Source organism: Homo sapiens, chromosome 1, assembly GCF_000001405.40.
Source record: "Homo sapiens chromosome 1, GRCh38.p14 Primary Assembly".
In the NCBI taxonomy this organism is placed as follows: Eukaryota; Metazoa; Chordata; class Mammalia; order Primates; family Hominidae; genus Homo; species Homo sapiens.
Window position 1 is genome coordinate 197797737 of NC_000001.11, and position 25946 is coordinate 197823682.

At 41.6% G+C, this 25946-nt stretch overlaps 6 annotated features.

Moving 5' to 3' along the window:
- Positions 2502 to 3242: an enhancer, noted in NCBI's record as "H3K4me1 hESC enhancer chr1:197769368-197770108 (GRCh37/hg19 assembly coordinates)". NCBI's record gives its function as "activates a minimal SCP1, AML or CMV promoter by ChIP-STARR-seq in naive H9 embryonic stem cells {active_cell/tissue: H9 hESC(naive)}" and the evidence as "EXISTENCE:reporter gene assay evidence [ECO:0000049][PMID:30033119]".
- Positions 4724 to 5463: an enhancer, noted in NCBI's record as "OCT4-NANOG-H3K27ac-H3K4me1 hESC enhancer chr1:197771590-197772329 (GRCh37/hg19 assembly coordinates)". NCBI's record gives its function as "activates a minimal SCP1, AML or CMV promoter by ChIP-STARR-seq in naive H9 embryonic stem cells {active_cell/tissue: H9 hESC(naive)}" and the evidence as "EXISTENCE:reporter gene assay evidence [ECO:0000049][PMID:30033119]".
- Positions 13006 to 13742: an enhancer, noted in NCBI's record as "OCT4-NANOG-H3K27ac-H3K4me1 hESC enhancer chr1:197779872-197780608 (GRCh37/hg19 assembly coordinates)". NCBI's record gives its function as "activates a minimal SCP1, AML or CMV promoter by ChIP-STARR-seq in naive H9 embryonic stem cells {active_cell/tissue: H9 hESC(naive)}" and the evidence as "EXISTENCE:reporter gene assay evidence [ECO:0000049][PMID:30033119]".
- Positions 15742 to 16700: an enhancer, noted in NCBI's record as "OCT4-NANOG-H3K27ac hESC enhancer chr1:197782608-197783566 (GRCh37/hg19 assembly coordinates)". NCBI's record gives its function as "activates a minimal SCP1, AML or CMV promoter by ChIP-STARR-seq in primed H9 embryonic stem cells {active_cell/tissue: H9 hESC(primed)}" and the evidence as "EXISTENCE:reporter gene assay evidence [ECO:0000049][PMID:30033119]".
- Positions 16043 to 16337: a silencer, noted in NCBI's record as "tiled region #8821; HepG2 Repressive non-DNase unmatched - State 22:ReprW, and K562 Repressive non-DNase unmatched - State 24:Quies". NCBI's record gives its function as "represses a minimal TATA promoter and a strong SV40 promoter by Sharpr-MPRA in HepG2 and K562 cells {active_cell/tissue: HepG2 | K562}" and the evidence as "EXISTENCE:reporter gene assay evidence [ECO:0000049][PMID:27701403]".
- Positions 16701 to 17658: an enhancer, noted in NCBI's record as "OCT4-NANOG-H3K27ac hESC enhancer chr1:197783567-197784524 (GRCh37/hg19 assembly coordinates)". NCBI's record gives its function as "activates a minimal SCP1, AML or CMV promoter by ChIP-STARR-seq in naive and primed H9 embryonic stem cells {active_cell/tissue: H9 hESC(naive and primed)}" and the evidence as "EXISTENCE:reporter gene assay evidence [ECO:0000049][PMID:30033119]".

The window sequence follows — 25946 nt, forward strand, 5'->3', positions numbered from 1 at the left end:
TTGACCTTGGAGGATCTGATGATTATGTGTCTTGAGGATGGTCTTCTTGGATAACATTTTGCAGGTGTTCTCTGCATTTTCTGAATTTGACTGTTGGCCTCTGTAGCAAGGTTGGGGAATTATTCATGGATGACATCCTGAAATATGTTTCCAAGTTGCTTGCTTTCTCCCCATCTTTTTCAGGGATGCCAATCTGTCATATCTCTTTCCATAATCCCATATTTCTTGGATATTTTGTTCATTCCTTTTTATTCTTTTTTTTTTTTAATTTCTGTATGACTGAGTTGTTTCAGAGAGTCATTCTTCAAGCTCTGAGATCCTTTCCCTTGCTTGGTATATTTTGCTGTTAATATTTGTGATTAAACTATGAAATTCGTATAGTGTGTTTTTCAGCTGTATCAGATCAGTTTCGTTTTTTTATGATGGTTATTTTGTCTATCAGCTCCTGTATGGTTTTATTGTGATTCCTTGGATTGGGTTTTGACATTCTCCTGAATCTCAATGATCTTCATTCCTATCCATATTCTGAATTCTGTTTCTGTCATTTCAGTCATTTCAGTGCAGTTAAGAACCCCTGCTGGGGAACTAGTGCAATCATTTGGAGGAAAGAAGACACTCTGGCTTTCTGAATTGCCAGAATTCTTGCACTGGTTTTTTCTCATCTGTGTGGGCTGATGTTTCTTTAACTATGGTGTAAATTTGAATACAGTCAGTAGACTTCTTTTCTGGATGTTTTCAGAAAGTCTAGGCTTTGTGTCAGGTCTTTATTTGTAGCTGAATTATTATCCTTGGTTTAACAGGGGGGTTATATTAGCAAAGTATTTTTAGTGTTGGAGTTTTGGGCTGTGATCCAGTAAGTGGCACTTAAGCATAATGGCCAGTAGTTAGGCTGTCACTCAGTCTGTATTTCCTCATGATTGTGGCCATGTTCCCTCTCAATTCTCTGAAGTTGCTGTTCCTCTCCCACTTGAGTGCGGCTGCAGATCTTGGGTTAGCCCTCCAAGGCTGCACACTGCAGTTCTGGGGTTCCCTCCCAGCTTGGAAACAGCAGGGGAAGGGACCTTAGCAGTGGTTATGGCAGATGATCTTTCACTTGTCTCTTGGGGCTCCACCCCAGAGAGATGCAGAGCTGCAATCAAACAGTGCAACTGGTCTCAGATGGGGCAGTTGTGCTATTAGCCCAAATCAGGGGATCCCTGCCTGATGATAAGCAGGGGTGTGGGTGGGACTCAGGGGAGACAGACTGGCCTCTTCTCCTTAGAGTAACTGTGGCTTGCTGGAGGTGTGGTTAAAGTACTTAGGGTCTTTGCTCCTTTCCCAGTCTGAGGGCAGCAAGGGCAGTACCACGGCAGTGGTACTGGCAGAGGGGCTTCTGGGAGCTCCACTTCAGAGAAATGCAGAGCTGCTGCTACTCAGAATGTTCAGCCAGGGGTAGTGGCAGCTGAGCTGCTGGCCTGAGCTGGGGACTCCACTTATTGAGGAGTTGGGTGTCGAGGGCTCACAGGGAAGAGAGACTGGATTCCTCTAAGTATGGTGACTGTGGCATGCTGTAAGTGCAGGTAAAGCCCTAAGGCTCTTTGTTTATTCCCCAGAACAAGGGCAGCAGGAAAACTGCTGCTGTGGCTGTAGAGGAGGGACTTTTGGTTGCCTCTGGGAGCCCATCCCCAGGGAATCTCAGAACCACTTCCAGTAAGTGTTCTTAGCTGTGTGTGGGGTGACTCATCTGCAGTCCTAAGTTGTGGGCCCTGCCTGGTGAAGAGTTGGAGGTGGGGACTCACAAGAAAGAGAGACTGGACTCCTCTCCATGTGGTAGCTTTGGTGTGCTGGAGTTGCCAGCCTATCAACCAGGCCCTTTGTCCCTACCCCAGCCTGAGGGTAGTTAGGGCAGTACCACTGCAGCTGCAATGGCAGATGGGTTGTGAGTTGACTCTGGGATTTCCTCTTCAGAGAAATGCAAAGCCACCTCCAACTGACATGTTCAGGTGGGGGCAGGGTAGTTGTACTGGAGTCCCAGACCCATCCAGTGAGAAGTGGGGATGGGGACCTATATGAACAGTCAACCACTTTTCCAAGGGGTGGCTGTGTTGTGCTGGGAGTCCATGCCAGTCCCTAATCACCATGCACCCTTCAGAGCCTGAAACAAGAGTGACAAGAGCTGTAGGACAGCAAAAATGGTGGCCTGTCTCTCCCTCTGAGAACTCTGTCCCAAGGGAGTCCAGAGCTGATGCCAGCCTGAGAGGCCTGGCATGGGGTAAAAAGAAATTTTAAAAATCTTGAAACAAAGGAAAATGAGCCCAACATATTAAAACTTATGGGATGCAGTAAAAGCAGTTCTAAGATGGAAGTTTATAGCAATAAACACCCACGGTATGAAAAAGAAAGATTTAAAATAAACAGCCTAACATTATATCATGAGAATAAAAAAAGAATAAGTGATTCCCAAAGTTAGTAGAAAAAAGGAAGTAATAAAGATCAGCGCATAAATCAAAGGAATAGAGACTAAAAAAAAAAAGAAAATATAAATAAAACTGAGTTACTTTTTTGAAAGATAAAATTGACAAATGTTTAGCTAGAATAATTTTACAAAAAAAGAGGGAAGAGACTTGAGTAAATAAAATTATAAATGAAAGAGGAGATATGCAACTAATACCACAGAAATATAAAGGATCATAATGATGGCAGTGGTGGGCTGTCCAGAGTGCTGGCATCATGTTGGCTGCAGCAGGGAGGCACAGAAGGTGGTGGGAGGAGCAGCAGTGGCAGCGATGGGACCCATGTGCCCCAGGTCCCCAAGGCAGCCAACTGTGCTGCCCCCACCCTTGCAGGACTGGGCAGGACCTGCTCCCAGGCCTGAAGCCTCTGCCACAGCCTCAACTTTGCTCCTTACTGCATCTTGGGAGCCTGTGAGCACCTGGCTAAAGTGCAGCCAGGACTCATGGGGCCAGCCCTGAGAGCGTCGGGTTCATTTGTGCAGGGTTGGCCAGGGATACCACACTGTCTTCACTTTGCCTGCCACCACTGCAGGGAAAATGTGGAGAGGAGGCAAGCAGTCCCTGGAGCCTGCCCCTGGGAGCCACTGTGATGAGGATGGACCAAGTTGCCCACCAGTGAGGGAGCCACTGCAATGGGGCCAGGTTGAGTCACCCACTGGTGGAGGAGCAGCGTGATCAGGCATGGAGGGGCAGGTATACAGGAGCCCTGAGGTGGAGCTGGTCCTGGGACAGTGCCATGCTCCACGAAGCCAGCAGAGCTGCAAGCAAGTAGAAGCCTCACCCTCCCAGGCACAGCTGCAGCTGCCCAAGTTGCAACTGCGAACCCAGGAATCTCTGCACTCTTGGGGGCCCAGGAAGACTTCCCCTTTCCAATGCAGGCTTGATGGTGTCTGCTCCCACTGCCTACCTTCTCCCCACTCCCAGTGCCCACTCTGATCTCAGAGCAAGGTTGGGGCTGAGCCTGGGTGCTGTCACAGCACAGCTGGGTGTGTGCACACTCAGGGCAGTACTAACATGCCAGGCCTCTACTTGGCTCCCTCCAGACTTTGGGCACCAATGAACATGGGAGGGAGGCCAGAGGGTGCTGAAAGCAGCTCAATGCTGGCCTGCAGGCACTCCTTTGCATGAACAGCCTGGGTGACATGAATGGTGGCAGGAGGCAGACAGGCTCCTGGGCAGAGAGGGATGAGTCTCCAGTGAAACCCCACCCAGGGAGGGCCTGAGGCCTAGGGGCTGGGCTGGCGGTCCTGTGGACCAGAGTGGCAACTTGTGTTGCTTTTTCTGGGCCCACCTATGGCCACCCATGGACCAATCAGCACACACTTCCTCCCACTGAGGCCCATAAAAGCCCTGGACTCAGCTAGACCAGAAGGGACGATGGAACAACCAGCTACAGAGGGCCAAGTGGGCAGAACGAGCCCAGTGGGCCTGAGCTAAGCTAGGGCAAAGGCGCCACTGCTCACAGAGATTTCCATGGTCCCTGGTGTCTCCAAGCTTACAGGCACCATCGCATTCTCCAGTGTCAGCCATGGAAGCTGCTTGTGGTACGCCTGGTCCAGCCACAGCCTCACAGGGAGCCAGCACCCATACTGCTGCCTGGAGCTGCCTATGCTGCTGCAGCTGGCATGCCTGGCTATGTGCAGTGGCAGGACCCCATGCTCACTCACACACCCCTTGCTGCTCTGTGCCTGGCTGACCTTTGGCAGGCATGGAATCCAGGCCAGCAGCACAAGCTGAGTGCAGCCTGCAAGGCCAAGTGTGCAGAACGAGCCCAGTGGGCCTGAGCAAAACTTGGGCAAAGGCGCCACTGCCCACAGAGGTTTCTGGCTGGCAAAGAGACACCCCAAGAATCCTGTAACAAGAGACCACTATGAATAATTATATTTCCCCAAATTGGATAACCTAGATGAGATGGATAAATTCCTAAAAACTTACAACCTACCAAAACTGAATCACAAAGATATAAAAGTCTAAACAGATCAACAATGAGCAAAGATAATAAATTTATAATTTAAAAAAATCTGCTATCAAAGAAAAGCCCAGTACCTAATGGCTTTACCTGTGAATTCTACCAAACAATTAAAAATTAATGTCGGAATTCGAGGGGAGGAGCCAAGGTGGCCGAATAGGAACAGCGCTGGTCTACAGCTCCCAGCCTGAGCGATGCAGAAGACAGGTGATTTCTGCATTTCCATCTGAGGTGCCGGGTTCATCTCACTAGGGAGTGCCAGACAGTGGGCGCAGGTCAGTGGGTGCACGCACCGTGCGCGAGCAGAAGCAGGGTGAGGCATTGCCTCACTCGGAAGTGCAAGGGGTCAGGGAGTTCCCTTTCCTAGTCAAAGAAAGTGGTGACAGATGGCACCTGGAAAATCGGGTCACTCCCACCCAAATACTGCGCTTTTCCGACGGGCTTAAAAAACGGCGCACCAGGAGACTATATCCCGCACCTGGCAGGGAGGATCCTACACCCACGGAGTCTCGCTCATTGCCAGCACAGCAGTCTGAGATCAAACTGCAAGGCGGCAGCAAGGCTGGGGGAGGGGCGCCCACCATTGCCCAGGCTTGCTTAGGTAAACAAAGCAGCCGGGAAGCTCCAACTGGGTGGAGCCCACCACAGCTCAAGGAGACCTGCCTGCCTCTGTAGGCTCCACCTCTGGGGGCAGGGCACAGACAAACAAAAAGACAGCAGTAACCTCTGTAGACTTAAATGTCCCTGTCTGACAGCTTTGAAGAGAGCAGTGGTTCTCCCAGCACGCAGCTGGAGATCTGAGAACGGGCAGACTGCCTCTTCAAGTGGGTCCCTGACCCCTGACCCCCGAGCAGCCTAACTGGGAGGCACCCCCCCAGCAGGGGCAGACTGACGCCTCACACGGCCACCTGGCCGTGCTGCAGGGGGGTCCTGTCTGTTAGAAGCTACCAATGACTTTCTTCACAGAATTGGAAAAAACTACTTTAAAGTTCATATGGAACCAAAAAAGAGCCCGCATTGCCAAGTCAATCCTAAGCCAAAAGAACAAAGCTGGAGGCATCACCCTACCTGACTTCAAACTATACTACAAGGCTACCGTAACCAAAACAGCATGGTACTGGTACCAAAACAGAGATATAGATCAATGGAACAGAACAGAGCCCTCAGAAATAATGCTGCATATCTACAACTATCTGATCTTTGACAAACCTGACAAAAACAAGCAATGGGGAAACGATTCCCTGTTTAATAAATGGTGCTGGGAAAACTGGCTAGCCATATGTAGAAAGCTGAAACTGGATACCTTCCTTACACCTTACACAAAAATCAATTCAAGATGGATTAAAGACTTAAACGTTAGACCTAAAACCATAAAAACCCTAGAAGAAAACCTAGGCATTACCATTCAGGACATAGGCATGGGCAAGGACTTCATGTCTAAAACACCAAAAGCAATGGCAACAAAAGCCAAAATTGACAAATGGGATCTAATTAAACTAAAGAGCTTCTGCACAGCAAAAGAAACTACCATCAGAGTGAACAGGCAACCTACAAAATGGGAGAAAATTTTTGCAACCTACTCATCTGACAAAGGGCTAATATCCAGAATCTACAATGAACTCAAACAAATTTACAAGAAAAAAACAAACAACCCCATCAAAAAGTGGGCAAAGGACATGAACAGACACTTCTCAAAAGAAGACATTTATGCAGCAAAAAAACACATGAAAAAATGCTCACCATCACTGGCCATCAGAGAAATGCAAATCAAAACCACTATGAGATACCATCTCACACCAGTTAGAATGGCAATCATTAAAAAGTCAGGAAACGACAGGTGCTGGAGAGGATGTGGAGAAATAGGAACACTTTTACACTGTTGGTGGGACTGTAAACTAGTTCAACCATTGTGGAAGTCAGTGTGGCGATTCCTCAGGGATCTAGAACTAGACATACCATTTGACCCAGCCATCCCATTACTGGGTATATACCCAAAGGACTATAAATCATGCTGCTATAAAGACACATGCACACGTATGTTTATTGCGGCACTATTCACAATAGCAAAGACTTGGAACCAACCCAAATGTCCAACAATGATAGACTGGATTAAGAAAATGTGGCACATATACACCATGGAATACTATGCAGCCTAAAAAAATGATGAGTTCATGTCCTTTGTAGGGACATGGATGAAATTGGAAACCATCATTCTCAGTAAACTATCGCAAGAACAAAAAACCAAACACCGCATATTCTCACTCACAGGTGGGAACTGAACTATGAGAACACATGGACACAGGAAGGGGAACATCACACTCTGGGGACTGTTGTGGGGTGGGGGGAGGGGGGAGGGATAGCATTGGGAGATATACCTAATGCTAGAGGACGAGTTAGTGGGTGCAGTGCACCAGCATGGCACATGTATACATATGTAACTAACCTGTACATTGTGCACATGTACCCTAAAACTTAAAGTATAATAAAAAAAATTAATGTCAATCATTCTCAAACTATTCCAAAAAATTGAGGAGGGAACACCTTTAAACTCATTTTATGAGACGAGAATTTATCCTGATACCAAAGCCAGACTTTGGGCGTTTTAAGAAAATAAAATTATAGCTGGGTGCGGTGGCTCATGCCTGTAATCCCAGCACTTTCAGAGTCTGAGGCGGGCAGATCACGAGGTCAAGAGATCGAGACCATCCTGGCCAACATGGTGAAACCCCGTCTCTACTGAAAGTATAAAAATTAACTGGGCATGGTGGCATATGCTTGCAATCCCAGCTACTCGGGAGGCTGAAGCAGGGGAATTGCTTGTATCTGGGAGGTGGAGGTTGCAGTGAGACGAGATCACGCCACTGCACTCCAGCCTAGTGAAAGAGCGAGACTCTGTCTAAAAATAAAATAAAATAAAATAAAACTCCAATATTCACAATGAACATCATTGCAAACATCACCCTAAAAGCCACTCAACAAAATACTAGCAAAACAATTTCAACAGTACATTAAAAGTATCATACACCCTGATCAAGTGGGATTTATCCCCAGGATGCAAGTGTGATACATAGACCAGTAAGTGTGATATACCACATTAACACAATGAAGGACAAAAATCATATTATTATCTAAATAGATGGGGTTGACTAAACTCAACATCCTTTTATGATTAAAAAAAAAAAACCTCTCAACAAATTAGGTATAGAAGGATTGCACCTCAACATAATAAATGTGACAAGCTCATACCTACCATCATATTCAATGATGGAAAGCTGAAGGCTTTTCCTCTAAGATCAGGAGCAAGACAAGCACGTCCACTCTTGTCACTTCTATTTGATACAGTGCTATAAGTCCTAGGCAGAGCAATTAGGCAAGAAAAAGAAATAAAAGGCACCCAAATCAGAACACAAGAAAAATTAACCCTGTTTGCCAATGACATAATCTTATATATGGAAAACCCTAAAGTCTCCACTATATCCATCTTTTCCTGCTGCTATAACAAAATATGACTAACTGGGTAATTGATAAATAATAGAAATTTCTTTTTTTTATTTCTTTTTATTTTTTGAGTCAGAGTTTCACTCTTGTTGCCCAGGCTGGAGCATGAGTGCAATGGCACGATCTCGGCTCACTGCAACCTCTACCTCCCAGGTTTAAGCAATTCTCCTGCCTCAGCTTCCTTAGTAGCTGGGATTACAGCCATGCACCACCACGCCCGGCTAATTTTGTATTTTTATTTTTTATTTATTTATTTATTTATTTTTTATTATACTTTAGTTTTAGGGTACATGTGCACATTGTGCCGGTTAGATACATATGTATACATGTGCCATGCTGGTGCACTGCACCCACTAACTCGTCATCTAGCATTAGGTATATCTCCCAATGCTATCCCTCCCCCCTCCCCCCACCCCACAACAGTCCCCAGAGTGTGATATTCCCCTTCCTGTGTCCATGTGATCTCATTGTTCAATTCCCACCTATGAGTGAGAACATGCGGTGTTTGGTTTTTTGTTCTTGCGATAGTTTACTGAGAATGATGATTTCCAATTTCATCCATGTCCCTACAAAGGACATGAACTCATCATTTTTTATGGCTGCATAGTATTCCATGGTGTATATGTGCCACATTTTCTTAATCCAGTCTATCATTGTTGGACATTTGGGAGCCGGGGTTTCTCCATGTTGGTCAGGCTGGTCTCCAACTCCCGACCTCAGGTGATCTGCCCGTCTTGCCTCGCAAAGTGCTGGGATTACAGGTGTGAGCCACCATGCCGAGTCAAAATTTATTTCTTATAGTTCTGGAGGCTGGAGAGTCCACGATCATAGTACCAGAAGATTAGGTATCTGGTGAAGACTTGCTCCTGCTCTCCAAGATAACACTTTGCTGCTGTGTCCTCACATGGCAGCAGGTGGAATATCAAAAAAGATTAGCATGCTCCCTTTAAACTCTTATAAAGTCACTAATTCCCTTTATGAGGGTTTCACTCTTATGACCTAATCATCTCCTAAAGGCCCATCTCTTAATATTACCACATTGGCAATTAAGTTTCAACATATGATTTGGCGGACACATTCAGATGGTAGTATGTACCAAAAAATGATTAGCACTAAGAAGCATATTTAGCAAAGTTGCATGATATATAATCAGCATGCAAAAATCAGTGGCATTTCTATACACTCCCAATGAACTATCTGAAAAAGAAACTAAGAGAACTATCTCATCAGGGAAATACAAAGCAAAACCACAATGAGATATCACCTCACACTTGTTAGAATGGCTATCATCAAAAAGACAAAAAATAACAAATGTTGGTGAGGATGTGGACAAAAATGAAGGCTTGTGCACTGTTGATGAGAATATAAATTGGTACAGCCTTTATGGAAAATGGTGTGGAGGTTCCTCAAAACATTAAAAATACAGCTACAATATGATTCAGCAATTAATTGCACCACTAGGTATATATCAAAAAGAAATGAAATTAGTATGTTCAAGAGATGTATGCACTTCTATATTCATTGCAGCATTATTCCCACACTGATGGGAGCTTCTTTAATCACTAATTAAGTATCTTCAGCACACTTGTTGCAGGCACAAAACATAAATACTCAAATTAGTCTCCAAACAATAACGCCACCTATCTATTTACTGAAGCAGCATTTCTCCTCATGTATTAATAGCCTGGTACTTTCAGTCGGTTACTTGTTGTGAGAGTCACACCTCACTTTGGCTTCTAATGGGGGAAGTAAGTAGCAAGCGTCAGCATTGTTTTTCTTCCAGCTTCCATGCCTGTGTTCCTGCTGACCCATCCCATTTATATGACCCTGCCTCTCCCTCCTACCCATCCTTCTGGGTCCAGCTCAGGTCTTCTCTCCGTAAAAACTTCTTCCACTAGTTTAAGTCAATAGTAATATGTCTCTCCTTTGTGTTCCTATGGCACTTTTAGCCAATTCTTAGCTGTTCAATATTTAACTGCTCCTTGCTTTATTATATGTACAATAATTTAAGCACTTCCAACTATAAATACCTTAGGAGCAGGAACTGTGGTATCTACTTTGTGTGTGTGTTCCCCCCTCTTTGGGGACCATTTGATATTCAGTAAATGTTTACTGATTGATTAATACAATAGTGTGACAACCACCAGGCAAGGAAAGGAAGAATGGTAAACTGTTGCATGGTAGACACACCTGACAGTGATAACTTGACTTGGGCATACCCTGAGAATGACCCTGTATAGCAGATGCACCTGAATGTACGTTCGGAGTTCTGAGCTAAGGGAATCCAGAAGTGGCAAACCTGCAGATCCATTCCTTATCTATGAAGAGCCATACAGCCCTCCACCCCTCATTTCCCCATGGAACACTGGCCATATAGAAGCTCAAGGCCCTGAATTTTGCATTAAATAAAGGTTGCCAGGTGGAAGTTGTTAGGGAAAGTGTTAAGTGAAAATGCTATATAAACTGCATGCCTTTTGCAAGAAGTTGCTGTTCTCCTGCCAAGCGGGCCGCCACTGGGCTCTCTTTGGTGTATGTAAAAATAAAACCCCATGTCTCATTTCCTGGCTCTAGGTTTCTTCTTCAGCCTCTTGAACCTGGTGCCGTGCTCACTGAAGTCAATAGGGATTTGGCACAACTATTATTGTTATTCTGAAACTTTTAAGACTCTGGATTTTACTGTTTACAGGGTGGGGTTTATTTGTAAAACTTTGTTTCCTTAAGAGTTTGATAAAAGGCATTCAGCTCAATGCATAAAATTATGCTTGAGTGAATTAAAAAGCTAAAAGCTGAAATGAAAAATGAATATAAATATTAACTGAATATGAATTTTTCTGTAAAAAGATTTTAATCCATAAAATCAAAATGGCTTAGAATATGAATGCTTAATTATTTTATTGTTCTAATAGTTTGAGGATGGGGAGAAAAGGAGCATTCCTCAGCAAGTAATAAGGATACATCAGTCAATTAAAGTTTAGAGATTTCTCACAAAGGCACCAGATTAACCTTATCGAATATAAGTTTCTGTACCTTCCAGACTCTTCTGCTTCTCCTTTCCCCCAAATTTTACCAAACCTACTTAGCATTTCATTCATTCGTCTCTTTTTGAGTACTATCTTTTAGTACTTATTTTCCTAGCTTCTTGGTATTTAAAAACCATAGTGACTGAGCTGCATAACCCTAGTATTTGTTGTTAGAAAGCAGTTAAGTTTTGTTTGAAAAATGTGTCTTCTGTACTTCCATAGAGCAATGAGTTGTGAACCTCTCACAGTTGTAGATCATGTTGGTGCTGCCCCTTAGTCACACCTCGCCTTTCAGCCTGATGAAGTATTTTGCAGCAGATGTGGCAAATGTAGAAGTGGAGCTGTTATGAGCATTTTCTACATTAAGTGGTAGGGGTTTCCCCTGCTGTTCCCTTTGGCCGACTGGCTCCTCTCAGGGTGTTGTTGATGAAATTTGGTCTCTTGTCACATCATCTTCCGAGCTTTGCAGCAGCTACTCCCTCATGGTTTCTCATGCATGATCATGAATTTATGGATAGAGTAGCTCAGCTGTGATGTTAAAACCTCCAGTTAACTGACACATTCCTTAATAGAACTTTGACCAACATGATCAATAGCAATCAGCTTTTGCTTTCACATAAATAGTGCTTTGTTCTTTAGGTACACAAAAAAGCTTACTTTTCTTTTGATAACAAGTGTACCAAAAGCTTACTTTTTCTTCAAGCATTTCACTATGTCAGAATCTTTGCAGTTGCATTTAAACCTATATTCCCTCTGCAGCACCACGTGAAATGTACAATAATCATGATCTCTCACCATGCATTTACACTAGCAGGGCCATCAATTAACACGTTCCAGCACACCTGTTACCTGCAGTGCTTGGTATCTACATTCAAAACCTTTGCCTGATATATTCTAGTGAACAACATCTATGTAACTAGTCCATAGTGTTTTATATTCACAAATTGACAGGAAAAATACAGTCTTCTATCCTATCATCAGGCACGTTAACCATGCAAAAATAAATATCTCAGCTATCTGGTGTATTCCTGTCAGCGGTTCTTTAAAATATCACCCCTAAAAATCATTATTTCTATCAGTGACTGAACTTACAATTTCTAGAATGAAAATAATCTATTTTAATGCTAACTTTTTTCTCTTAAATATTTTGTTTTTAGATTTTAATAATTACCAAGTATATAATTTTTTAATAAATTTAATTTAAATAAAACAGCTATGATATAGAATAGCCTAGAAAGGAAATTTGACATCATTTTTATGGCACAGGCTAACTTTGAAAATTGACTTAAATAACTTGTGAGTCCATAAAAATTTTAACGTTGATCTCACTTAAGCTGCCTTGAACCTTACCTTTTTGTGATCCCGTATTACTGTCTCACATTTCTAACAAGCCTTTGCCTAATGACCAATTTACAGGTAGATTTGCTTCAATATTGTGTTAGAATCTCAGACTACATGATGTAATTTATGTGAATCAATGTGGATTCAGTCTCCCCTCTTAGCCCCTAAGAAGGTGGCATATATAGAAACAGGTGGAAAGACTTCCTCATTGGAATCCTATACATCCTCAAGAATAGAGGCTTCTCTTTGTTCTTTTAGTCCTTTCACATCAATCAATCTGCAAAATATGTACTCAGCCAATGCCAACAAAATAGAAGCATATCCATTTAGTTTAGTTGTTAGGCATGAGGGTGTGAAAGAAGAGTCATTAAAACACTCACTAAATTCACATATTGGTAACTTGGATCCCTCAGTCATGGACCCAGAGGCAAGAAAAAAACCCAAGAAAAACCAGTCCTCAGCAGGGCGCAGTGGCTCACGCCTGTAATCCCAGCACTTTGGGAGGCAGAGGCAGGCGGATCACGAGGTCAGGAGTTCAAGAACAGCCTGGCCAACATGGTGAAACCCTGTCTCTACTAAAAATACAAAAATTAGCCAGGCATGGTGGCAGGCGCCTGTAATCCCAGCTACTGGGGAGGCTGAGGCAGGAGAATCGCTTGAAGCCAGAAGGTGGAGGTTGCAGTGAGCTGAGATTGTGCCACTGCAGTCCAGCCTGGCCAACAAGAGGGGAACTTAGTCTCAAAAAAAAAAAAAAAAAAAGGAAAGAAAGAAAAAAGAAAACCAGTCCTCTCTCCAACCTGTAGTACATCAGTCCCGAAGGCACACAGCCCAAGTTGTTTACAACCATTCAGAATGTCGACATTTTACATCCTGTTTGAAAGTTCAGGTGTAGCCCCAGCCGTATTTCCCAACAAAATTACAAAGCAAGAGGAGATGCTATTTGCATGATAAGAAGGGGTGAGTAGGCTATAAGGAGAGTGTCGTGTAAATGGGGAGCCTTGAAAGAGCAATCTCCTTTGGAGAGGGAGAAAGGCAGCTGGAGAAGATACTGCAAGGAGGGAGTCAGAGGAAGAAATACCTTGTTCATTTCCCCTTCTTTCTTGAATCTCCTGTTGCAGCTTTCCTTAGGTTGGATCCAACAACAACAACAAAAAAAAACAGCTGGCATAAGAACTTATCCAGTCCAGGTGCGGTGGCTCATGCCTGTAATCCCAGCACTTTGAGAGGCCAAGGTAGGCAGATCACCTGAGGTCAGGAGTTTGAGACCAGCCTGACCAACATGGTGAAACCCTGTCTCTACTAAAAATACAAAATTAGCCAGGCATGGTTGTGCATGCCTGTAATCTCAGCTACTTGGGGGGCCGAGGCAGGGTAATTGCTTGAAACTGGAAGGCGGAGGTTGTAGTGAGCCGAGATCACACCATTTTACTACAGCTTGGGCAATAAAAGCGAAACTTCATCTCAAACAACAACAACAACAACAACAACAACAAACTTGGATCCAAGTCAGTCTCCCAGAGCAGAAAGCAGAGTAAAGAAGACTAGACGAGTCATCTAGAGGGGCAAATAGAAGATATTCAGCTCATGGTTCATTTTGTATTATTTAACATATTAAACTACTTCTACCCTTTTGAAGTAAGCAAGTCATAAATCCTAGATTCAAAATTGATGTATACTAAAATAGCAGCATGAATGCATTTGCTTATTTAACTTCATTTTTTTTTTCATCCAGCATTCAAATAGGCATTGAGGGAAAAACATTGAAAAGGAGAAAAAAAATCTTCTTGATGACATGCTTATTCAATTTGTTTCTTCTTTCTCTCAGACTGGTTAAAGGCCAAAACTTGCCCTTCCTATTTGTGTCCTCATGTTCTATGTATTTATTTGAATCATCCAAAGAATGTTAAGTATCATGCTCTCCTCCTATCCTGTACTTTCTTACCTCTGGGCCTTCTTGGGTAACAATTAACTCATACTGAATTGTACTATATGACCAGGCTGTTCATGAAGTCTCAGTGACCATGTCTTTTAAATGAAAATGATACTCTTTATAATGTCCTTGAGCATGAAGCTAAAAGAATGAGACTCACATACTCGCCCTCAGACTGTCATTTAAAATGGAAAAAAAGGGAGACATAAGAGAGACTGTCATTTAAAGAACAAAAACATATTTCCACTCCCTCCTCAAACCCTGCTACAAGGATTGCAAAGAGGAAAAATGGCAAACATACACATAAACTAGAAAATATAATATATGCCAGCATACAAAAGATAAAATCTTGAAACAGAAAAGGGAATTGACTTAGGAGTCCAAAAGAAAGCTGAAATGTAAGCATCTATGTCCAAAAGATGAAAACCAGTTCCCATTGCAGATTTGTGGAAAGACAAAGGAATTGGAGGCAATGGGTACTTCAGAAGACAGGGTTGTGGATGAGACTGAAAAGAAGAAGACTTGACAGTCTTTTAAAGTAAGTGGAATTTTAACCCTGATCTCTCCTACCTCATACAACAAGACAAATATGACTTCCTAACAGAAGATGCATTTACTCTCTACAGCAGTCAAACCACAGGGGTTTAAGTACATCTGGCAGAGCTAATGTGGTTGGGGGGGTGGGGGGGAGGGTAAAGTAAAAGGGAGACACCCCAGACTTAAAATGAGAATTAGTAAAACTTAACATACTAAATGTTGCAATCTCTGGCTCCTTTTTCCCAAAACACTAGCAGCCAGGTCTGGACATGGTGGCTCACACCGGTAATCCCAGCACTTTGGGAGGCCAAGGTGGGAAGATTGCTTGAGCCCAGGAGTTCAAGACCAGCCTGGGTAACAAAGCAAGACCTCATCTCTATTAAAAATAATAATATACATTGCTTCTACCAGCATCCCAGGAAGTTGGAAGATAATGGAAAAATGCCTTTAAAATTCTAAGGAATTTAAAATTCTATACCCAACCAAACTATTAGTCAAGTATGAGAATAGAATAAAGACATTTTCAGAAATATAAGCTCTTAAAATTTACCTCCCATGATCTCTTTTCCAGAAAGCTATTAGAGAATGTGCTCCGATAAAACCAAGAAAGACAAAGATATGGGATTCAGGAAACAAGGGATACAACTTAGGGAAAATGTAAAAGGAATTTGCAGAATGATGGAGAACAGAAATACCAAGATAAAAGCAGTCAGCAGACATAGAAAAAGACCAGAACAGAGCAGGACAGAGACCTCTAAGAGCAATGTCTCTAAGATGAATATAAAACTGATTGAGTATAGCTAATATTTACGAACATGTTTAGAGGAGAATTAGTTCTAATATTGGAATGAGATAATTGCTACAAAAACTAAGGAAATAAAAATATGAGGCAACTGTTTGCATCAAGCAAAAAAAAGTATATGAAATAAAATATAGAGTAAACTATAAGACTCAGCCATGAATATTATCCTGTGATTATATTGCATGTTGATTTATCTAAAAATGTCACTATCACTACATAAAGAAGGTGAAATGAGGGGAAGCTGTGGTAGAGACAGAGGATAGAGAAGTGCTATGCAAAATAGAAAAATCCTCATCTACCATAGCAGAAAGTCAGTGGGTAATGCCCCATATTGAATTTCCCAAAAGCAGACTCTGAGACGGAGATCGACATGCTAGAAGTTTATTGGGGAATGTTCTTTGGAAGGAGAAAAAAAGCAGAATTGGGCAGAAGGAGCAGCTGGGCTGTAGTAGAGTCTCAAAGAAGGCCTCTGCTAATTCTACAGGGAACTGTGATGCTGGATAGTTCCACAAAGTTGTTTGGCCCACGTTGGGGCAAGGGGACTAGTCATTTATGCTCCTGTATATATAACTTCACTGAATGTAGGCCTCCCTGGTAAGAGGTTGTGGGGTGCGGGGGGCGGGGGCAAAGGCATTTCTCTTCAGATGCAGACGCCTGAAAACTTAGGGTTGTCTGACAGAAGCACTCACAGCAGCTAGGAGGGTAAGTCTTTTTATTCCTAAAGGTGCAGCTCATCACAGCACCCTCAATCAGTATATCAAAAAAGCTAAAATCCGGAAGTTGCAGACTAGGCATACTTTTTAAAATTACAGAAATATATAAAATAAAAGAACTAAAAAAAAATGAAGGTACTAAATGGAATGGGAAGAGAGAGTGGGGAAGAATGGGGCAGGTACTGACTGCTGTTTTTCATTGTAAGGCCAGTACCATAGGACTTTAAAAGCTTGAAGGTCAGAGCTTTGACCTTTTTTTTCTTTTTTTAAAAAAAATTTTAAGTGTAGCTAAGGCAGTAGCCATTGAGATGAATATCACTATAATGATCATGGTCCTTAATCCTATTAGGACTAGAGGTCACAATGTAGAAAGGGATAGTGGTAGAGTTTGGGAAAGGAGGAACATAAATAACTTAAAGCATTCTGCATAATAATGTGGAAGGTTAACTCCATTGAACATGAGCAATTTAAACATTTTGCATAGTAATGCAAAAGCTAACTCTGTGGACGGCAGGGGTAGATAGCCTTGCAAAGGAAGAAGTTAGGAAAGTGATTATCTTTCTCCTTAAGGGTCTAAAAAGTCTGTACTCTTAGAACTAACATCTGTCTTGATTCAGAGATTACTATTTGGTGGGCGCTGCACTCAGCCTCATGAGATAAAGGCAAAAGGTTATTTCAAATGCACTTCTCCACTTTGGCTTTTTGATGAGATTTGGAGGGCCAAAGCCTGTCCCGGACTGGTCTGCTGAAGTTATTAAAACTGAATACCAGCTGGGCGCGGTGGCTCACGCCTGTAATCCCAGCACTTTGGGAGGCTGAGGCGGGTGGATCACTTGAGGTCAGGAGTTCAAGACCAGCCTGGCCAACATGATGAAACCCCGTCTCTACTAAAAATACAAAAATTAGTCGGGCATGGTAGCGCACGCTTGTAATCCCAGCTACTCAGGAAGCTGAGGCAGGAGAATCGCTTGAACCCGGGAGGCAGAGGTTGCAGTGAGCCGAGATCGCGCTGCTGCACTCCAGCCTGGGCTATAAAGCAAAACTCCATCTCAAACAACAACAAAAACCCCTGAATACCCAGGTTTAGGGATATTAACTATAAGACAAAAGAGGCTGGATCCTGGGATAATAACAAACTCTGATAAGTATGCAATTATGAATTCTCCAGAGACAAGTAAAAATTTTGCACAGAATTTAAAGGAAACAAACCCCCTGGAGGGGGACAAGGACATAAAACACAAGTTAGAAACTGAGACCATTTTCAGGATAATTCTAGGTAAACCGATCAACTTCTTTGGTGTTAGAACATGAGAAATGGTGTTTGAACCTTTGTGTCCCTTAAGCACGGGAAAGTTATAGCTGAGGAATCTTTTGCCTATTTATTTTATTTGTTTATTTTTTCCTTCAAACATTTATGTCCCAGTACCATAAGGAATCGTTTTACATTGTTTTCTTCCTCTGCTGTTATTCCTTTTATTTTCCCTAATCTTCAGTAAAATTAAACATGTCTACCCTATTGTCAGGAATCTCCTTCTGGACTGTATGGCCCTTCTGTGGTCTTTGCCATCACTTCAGAGTTTGCCATGACCCTGAGGGATACTGTGTAGTCCGCCCATCCAGCAAGACCTCCACAATAGCCAGTGGTCCTCCAGATTTAGACAATTCTTATGCTTGTTCATTCTGGTGTAGCAGCGGATGATGGGATAGGAAACCAACAGAATGGCCCTGTGCCTCTGTATCTCTCATCCATACCCAATTGAGCTCCTTGGCTCCAAAACATGTTTAGAGTTACTCTCCTGAGGGAATTTGGGCATAGCCAGTAATCTCTAAATTGAGTTATCAGTTGGGGGTCTCAAACAGGAAGCAGATGGCACTCTCAAATTGGGATCAAATTCAAGGAGGGTTGATTTGCAGAGGGACTAATTGAGAAGGTGTGGCAGTATTGGAAAGCCACAAAAGAACTTGGGCTAACAGCAGCAGAACTATCCCACCTCTAGGGCCAAAAGGCTGAAGGCAGAGATTATCAAAACCCAGGAGAGAAAATTAGATTGAGCAGAGCAGTGACCTGTAGAAGAGGGACATGGCCAGCTCGAGGGAGCTCCTCAGGAGAAAAGGCAGGGTTATTGATAACCTGTCCTCATTCTCTTGCTTCCTGCCAGGGATTCCCAGTGACTAAACCCTATTGCTAGTCAGAGGGCAGAGGCCCCTATTGATTTAATCCATTAAAGTTTAGCCTCATAGAGTAAGAAGCAAGGTGAAGGGTGATGAGTGGTAACAAGGGACAAATGGAAGATACCCAGCACACCATAAAACCATTCAGATTCTGATAATTGACCGAAGTTACTAAGTAGCTCAAATTATGAATGATTAACATGTTTTAATACAGAATTTCTCAAATGAAGGTTAAAGAACTTACATGTGTTCCCACATGTAAATGCTTTCCAAGAGGTATACAGGCAGGGATAATTGTAAAAGAATCAATTTCCAGATGTTCAACTTTCATATGTGTACATTTTTAAAATGTTCAGCTTGAAAATGAACCTTTCATTTTGCAAAGGCAAGTACTATATTTCATTTATCCAAAATCTTAAAAAAAAGATATTTTACAAGGATATATAAAACTCCTTGGGCTCCAAATAAAGGGAGAGCATTTCTTAATGAGAAAGCCCCATAAATCTCTGGAGCTTCCTGCCTCTTCCATTCTTACATTTATTTCTGTAAATGTGAAGCCTGTTAGAAACAGGGTATTTTGGACCATATTGGGATATTATTAATTTAAATATATGAAAGAATGGATTGTTAAAGTGGTAACAAGTTTTGTTATATGATTTTGCCTCTTCCTGTGTTTAAAATGAAAAATAATTCTTTTTGGCCATTATCAACATTCATCCATATAACATAGTTACTTGAAAACTACAGTTAGAATGTCATTAGTCAAAAAGTCAGGTACTTTTGAACTGTTGAAGAACTGTATGTTCGTGATAACTCTTAAATATAACAGAAATACTTCTTGTGTTAAGAAAACTTATCCACATTATGAAAATAAGGCAAAATGATAATTATGTGCCTTTTAAAGTCATTCTGAAACATTGTCTTGTCTTATAGACCAACCTAAAGAATGTCTAATTCTCTCAGGGAATGTACCTTCATAATTTTTTTTAATGTTTATCTTTTTATAAAAGAGACAGTAGTCTCGCTATGTTGCCCAACCTGGTCTTGAACTCCTGGCCTTGAGTGATCCTCTGGCCTTGACCTCCAAAAATGTTGGAATTACAGGCATGAGCCACCATACCCAGCCATAAATGCACATTTGACTTGCAACTTACTGGTTTTTGAAGAGACAGGGTCTTTCTATGTTGTCTAGTTCCAAACTCCTGGCCTCAAGCAATCCTTCTGCCTTGGCCTCCCAAAGTACTGGAATTATAAGCATGAGCCACCATACCCAGCCAATAAATTATGTTAAATACACATTTTAATATTGACTGCTTTAATAACTTATTTATTTATTATTTGTTTATTTATTTTGAGACGGAGTCTCGCTCTGTCACCCTGGCTGGAGTGCAGTGGTGCAATCTTGGCTCATTGCAATCTCCGCCTCCCGGGTTCAAGCGATTCTCCTGCTTCAGACTCCCAAGTAGCTGCGATTACAGGCATCCGCCACCACGCCCGGCTAATTTTTGTACTTTTAATAGAGATGGGGTTTCGCCATGTTGGCCAGGCTGGTCTCGAACGCCTGACCTTATGAGCTGCCCACCTCGGCCTCCCAAAGTGCTGGGATTACAAGCGTGAGCCACCGCACCCAGCCAATAACATATTTTTAAAGCATATCTGGCAATATATTCCTGAGAGTTTTTTTTGAAGTGCATTGAAATTCATATTACACATTTACTTGAAGAATATAAGTAGACACTTTACAACATATTTGGCTATAAGATCTGGCTTTGGGAGGCAAAGCTTCAGAAATGGGGGTAAAGGAAGATGACCCAATAGAAGCCTCCAGCGATCATTCCCTGCTGCAGGAACACCAAATTGAATGACTATCCACACAAAAAAGCACCTTCATAAGAATCAAAAATCATGTGAGCAATCACAGTACCTGGTTTTAACATCAATATTAAGGAAAGTGGCACTGAAGAGGGTAGAAAAGACAGTCTTGAATTGTCTACACCACCTCTCCCCCATCCTCCAGCAGTGGCTGCATGGCACAAAGAGAGAATCTGTGCTTTGGGGGGATGGAGAGCATAGTGATTGTGGGACTTTACATTGAAACTCAGTGCTACCCTGTCACAGCAGAAAGCATCATAGGGCAGAATTTAGCTAGAGCCTGTGGAGGGGGCATTTAGACCAGCCCTAGCTAGAGGTGATTCGACAATCCCAGCTATCAAAACCTAAGATCCAGCAAGTCCTGCCACCATGAAGGAAAATACTCTGGGATCCTAAATAAACTTGAAAGTCAGTCTAGGCCTCAAAGTACAATTCTTGGGCAAGTCCCGGTGCTGTCTGCTGGGCCCACAGCCAGTGGACCTGGGGGACACATGACCTAGCCTGGGTGGCTAAAGGAGTACTTGCATGGCCCCTCTTCCAAGTCCAGGCAATACAGGTCACAGCTCCAGGGGAGAGTCCTTCCTTTTGTTGAGGAGAGGAAAGGGGAGAGGAAAGAGAACTTTCTCTTGCAACTTGGAAACCAGCTCAGCCATAGTGGAATAGGGCACCAGGCAGAGTCCTGAGGCCCCCATTCCAGGACTTAGCTCCTGGTGACATTTCTAGACACACCCACAGCCAGTAGGGAAACCTCTGCCTTGAAGGGAAGGACTCAGTCCTAGCAGGATTCATCACCTGCTGAATAAAGAGCCCCAGGGCCCTGAATAATTGTGAGTGGTGGCCAGGCAGTACTCACCGTGGGCCTTGAGTGAAACTCAGAGCAGTGCTTGCTTTAGGTGTGACCCATGATGTTTCCACTTATTGCGGCTACAGGAGAGCCTCCTTTTGCTTGAGGAAAGGAGAGGGAAGAATAAAGGAGACTTTGTCTTTCAGCTTGGCCACAGTGAAGTAGAGCACCAAGCTATCTCCTGGGGTTGCCAGTTCCAGGCCTTGGCTCCTGGATGGCATTTCTGAACCTGCCCTGCGCCAGAGGGGCACTCACTGCCCTGAAGGGAGAGACCCAGGCCTGACAGCATGCACCGCAGCTGACTGAAGAGCCCTTGGGCCTTGAGTGAACATCAGTGGTAGCCAGACAGTACTTGCTGTGGGCCTAGGGCGGTGGTGCCCATGGGGAGAGACTCCTCTGCTTGAGGAAAGGGAAGAGAAGAGTAGAAAGGACTGTGCCTTGAGGCTTGGGTGCCAGCTCGGCTGTACTAGAATAGAGCACCAGGTAGGTTCCTATGGTTCTGAACTGCAAGCCCTGACTCCCAGATAGCATCTCTGGATCTGTCTAGGGCCAGGGGAATCTCACCACCCTTAAGGGAAGAACAGAAGCCTGGCTGGATTCACTCCCTGCTGATAGTATAGCTCTTGGGCCTTGAGTGAACATTAGTGGTAGCCAGGCAGTGGTCACTGTGTGCCTTGGGCAAAACCCAGTGCTTGGCTTGCTTTGAGTCTAACCTAGCACAGTCCCAGTGGTGGTAGCCACAGAGGGGCTTGTATCACCTCTCCCTCAGCTCCAGGAAGCTCAGCCCAGAGAGAGACTCCATTTGTTTGGGGGAAAGTAAGGGAAGAGAACAAGAGTCTCTGCTTGGTAATCAAGGAAATTCTCCCGGATCTTACCCAAGACTACCAAGGTGGTACCTCTGTAAGTCTGTAAGAGCCACAGCATGACTCAGCTTTGGGTGCCCCCTAATGCAGATATGGATGCAATGATTAAAGACTTAGATCACAACACCTAAGTCCCTTGGGATATTTGGAAAGCCTCTTCAAGAAGGACAAACAAGCCCAGACTGTGAGGACTACAATAAATACCTAACTCTTTAATACCCAGACACCAACAAACAAGCATCAGGACCATCAGGAAAACATGACCTCACCACACAAACTAAGTAAAGGACAGTGGCCAATCCCAGAGAGACAGAGATATGTGACCTTTCAGACAGAGAATTCAAAATAGCTGTTTTGAGGAAGCCCAGTGAAATTAAAGATAAGAGAAGAAATTCAGAATTCTATCAGATAAATTTAACAAAGACATTAAAATAATTACAAAGAATCAAGCAGAAATTATGGAGCTGAAAAATACAATTGACATACTGAAGAAGTATGAAGAGTCTCTTAGCAGAATTGATCAAGCAGAAGAAAGAATTAGTGAGTTTGAATACAGGCTATTTGAAAATACAGACAGAGGAAACAAAAGAAAAAAAATAACAAAGAATGAAGCACGCCTACAATATCCCGAAAATAGTCTCAAAAGGGCAGATCTATGAGTTCTTGTCCTTAAAGATGAGGTAGAAAGAGAGATCAGGGTAGAAAGTTTATTCATAGGGATAATAGAGAACTTCATAAACCTAGAGAAAGATATCAATATTCAAGTACAAGAAGCCTATGGAAAACCAAATTTAATAAAGAAAATGTGGTACATATAAACAATGGAACACTATTCAGCCACAAAGAAGAATGAGATCCTGTCATTTGCAACAACATGGATGGAACTGGAGGACATTATGTTAAGTGAAGTAAGCCAGGCACAGAAAGACAAACTTCATATGTTCTCATTTATTTGTGGTAGCTAAAAATTAAAACAATTGAACTCATGACATAGAGAGTAGAATGATAGTTACCAGAGGCTGAGAAGGGTAGTAGGGGGTAGGGTGAGTGAGGATGGTTAATGGGTACAAAAATATAGTTAGATAGAATGAATAAGATCTAGCACGTGATAGCACAACAGGGTGACTGCAGTCAACAATAATGTATTGTACATTTAAAAATAACTGAAAGAATATCACTGGATTGTTTGTAACACAAAGAAAGATAAATCTTGAGGTGATAGATACCCATTTACCCTGATTTGATTATTATGAATTGCATGTGTGTATCAAAATATCTCATGTACCCCATAAATATATACACCTAGTATATACCCACAAAAAAAGATCTGGCTTTGCCAGTTAGGTTACATAAAAGCGCTTTTTGTAAACTGAATAATAATGTAATGTTTTTTAATAAGATACATTTTATTATACTAAAGAAAACAAAAAACCCAAAAGTTTCATGAGATTAAACATTTCTATTTTCCGAAACTTTTCTTAATATATAAAAATAAACAATATGTCCCTAAGTGAAAGAGTAACTAGTACAATTAACAGGTATCTACTTCTTGGTAACAACTATTTGGTGTATATTCCAAAAATAGAAAAATGACTCTAAAAACTAGTAATAAATCACCTTATACATAAGATGTTTTCCAGTTGATTGCTCTTAAAAAGGCAAAATTGAAAAAATAAGATCCAGTACAATTGTTAGCTGACATATTACTAAAATAATTTTATTTTTAAATTGACAAATAAAAATTGTATATATTTATGGTATACAACATGATGTTTGAAATATGAACACATTGTAGAATGGCCTAATGAAGCTATTATAATTCACATATGCATTGCCTCATGTACTTTCTTTTGTGGTAAGAACACTTGAAATCTCTTAGCAACTTTCAAATATACAATATATTTATAAAATAATTTTAAATGATAGATCAGTTTTTGATTTTTGATGTATAACTTGAAAGACAGTCAAATAATTGAGTGACACTGCTACAACAAAACTTCCTTTCCCACCTATGTATTTGCACGGGCAATTAATATTCCCGCACTTCCATCTATAAAAACTGTTCAGGCTGAAACTATGACAAATTCAGGTTTAATTTTGTTTCATATTAGCAAAAAGTCATATTTATCCACAGAGACATACACTATCCTTAAAGCCTATTAATTTTGTTAAAAGTTGCATTTCCATTAAAAATTTACTCATTTAACAGCATATTTATTTTTAAACTTAAAGAATTAAAACATTCACATTTAAATATTAATATTACCATTCATAGCAAGTATTTATATTACATTTTAATCCTCTTGTACTAATCAAAATTCAGTCCAGAAAAAAAGTTTAACACTATGTCTAATACATGCAGCAGTTAAAATAAAATTTTAATATCAAATAAATATTTGAAAATATTCATATTTCATGTTGAAAATATGAATTTATACACATTTTTGTGAATAGAAGTATAATAGAGTGTTCAATAAAGACTATAAAGCATAAAAATATTACATTGTGATAAAATGTAAATATGAATTTAAGGCAAAAAAGGGAAGAAATTAAATTTCCATATGTGGAAGCAAAGCTTGTTCATATATTTGTTAATTAGATGAAAGTAGGGATCAAATTGTCAAATATTTGTATTCCAATTAATACATTTATGAAAGTAAAGTAAACAGGTTTTTCTGGTGGTTGTTGTTGGTCTTGCTATGTTGACCAGGCTGGTCTCAAACTCTTGGGCTCAAGATATTTTATTAAAATTAAGAAACATTTTTATTAAAAGAGATTAAAAAGTCAAGGTACAGATTGGAGAAAAGTATATATGTGTATGTATATTCTCTGATATACAGATATTTGACATAGCTATATCTGGTCTATATAAAAAAATATGGCTAACAGACTGGGTGCAGTGGCTCATGCCTATAATCCCAGCACTTTGGGAGGCCAAGGTGGGTGGATCATCTGAGGTCAAGAGTTCAAGACCAGCCTGGGGAACATGGTGAAACCCCTTCTCTACTAAAAATACAAAAATTAGCCAGGCGTGGTGGCAGCCACCTGTAATCCCAGGCACTCGGGGGCTGAGGCACAAGAATCACTTGAACCCGGGAGGTAGAGGTTGCAGTGAGCCAAGATTGTGCTATTGAACTCCAGCCATGGCAACAGAGCGAGACTCTGTCTCAAAAAAAAAAAAAAAAAAAAAAAAAAAGCTACCATATATATACATATATGTCTTCATCTGACATATATACAATTAAACCCAACATATATATTTTGGTATCTTACAAATGGCTTATATTCAAAATGTTTCAAAATCTCCTACTAACCAATAAAAAAGCAACTCAATAAAATGGGCAAGAGACTTGGTCACTTTGTAAAAGAAGATATCCAAATGAATAATAAGCACATTAAAAAACTGCTCAACATTATTAGTCATCAGGGAAATGTAAATTAAAACAAAGAAATCTTACAGTATATTTTTCAAAAGACTAAAATTATAAAAAGATTGATAATACCAAGTGTTGGCAAGGATTTGGAACAGCTGGAACTCCTATACCTTTTGAGTGGGAATGTAACATGCTACAACCACCTGGAAGAAGTCTTTGGCAGTATCTATGGCAATATGACATGTACAATACCCTACAACATGAAAAATTCCACTTCTAGGTATACACCCAAGAGAAAGAAGTATACATATCCACCAAAAGACATGTCCGAGAATGTTCATAGCAACTCCATACATAAGAGCCAAAACCTGAAAACAACTCAAATGTCTATCCATAGGAACTTATATAAATAAATTTGAATATATTCATATAACAGAATACTACTCAGCAATATAAAGAATGTACCTTTTCTATATGCAACAACATGAATGATTCTCACAGAAATAATATTGAGCAAAA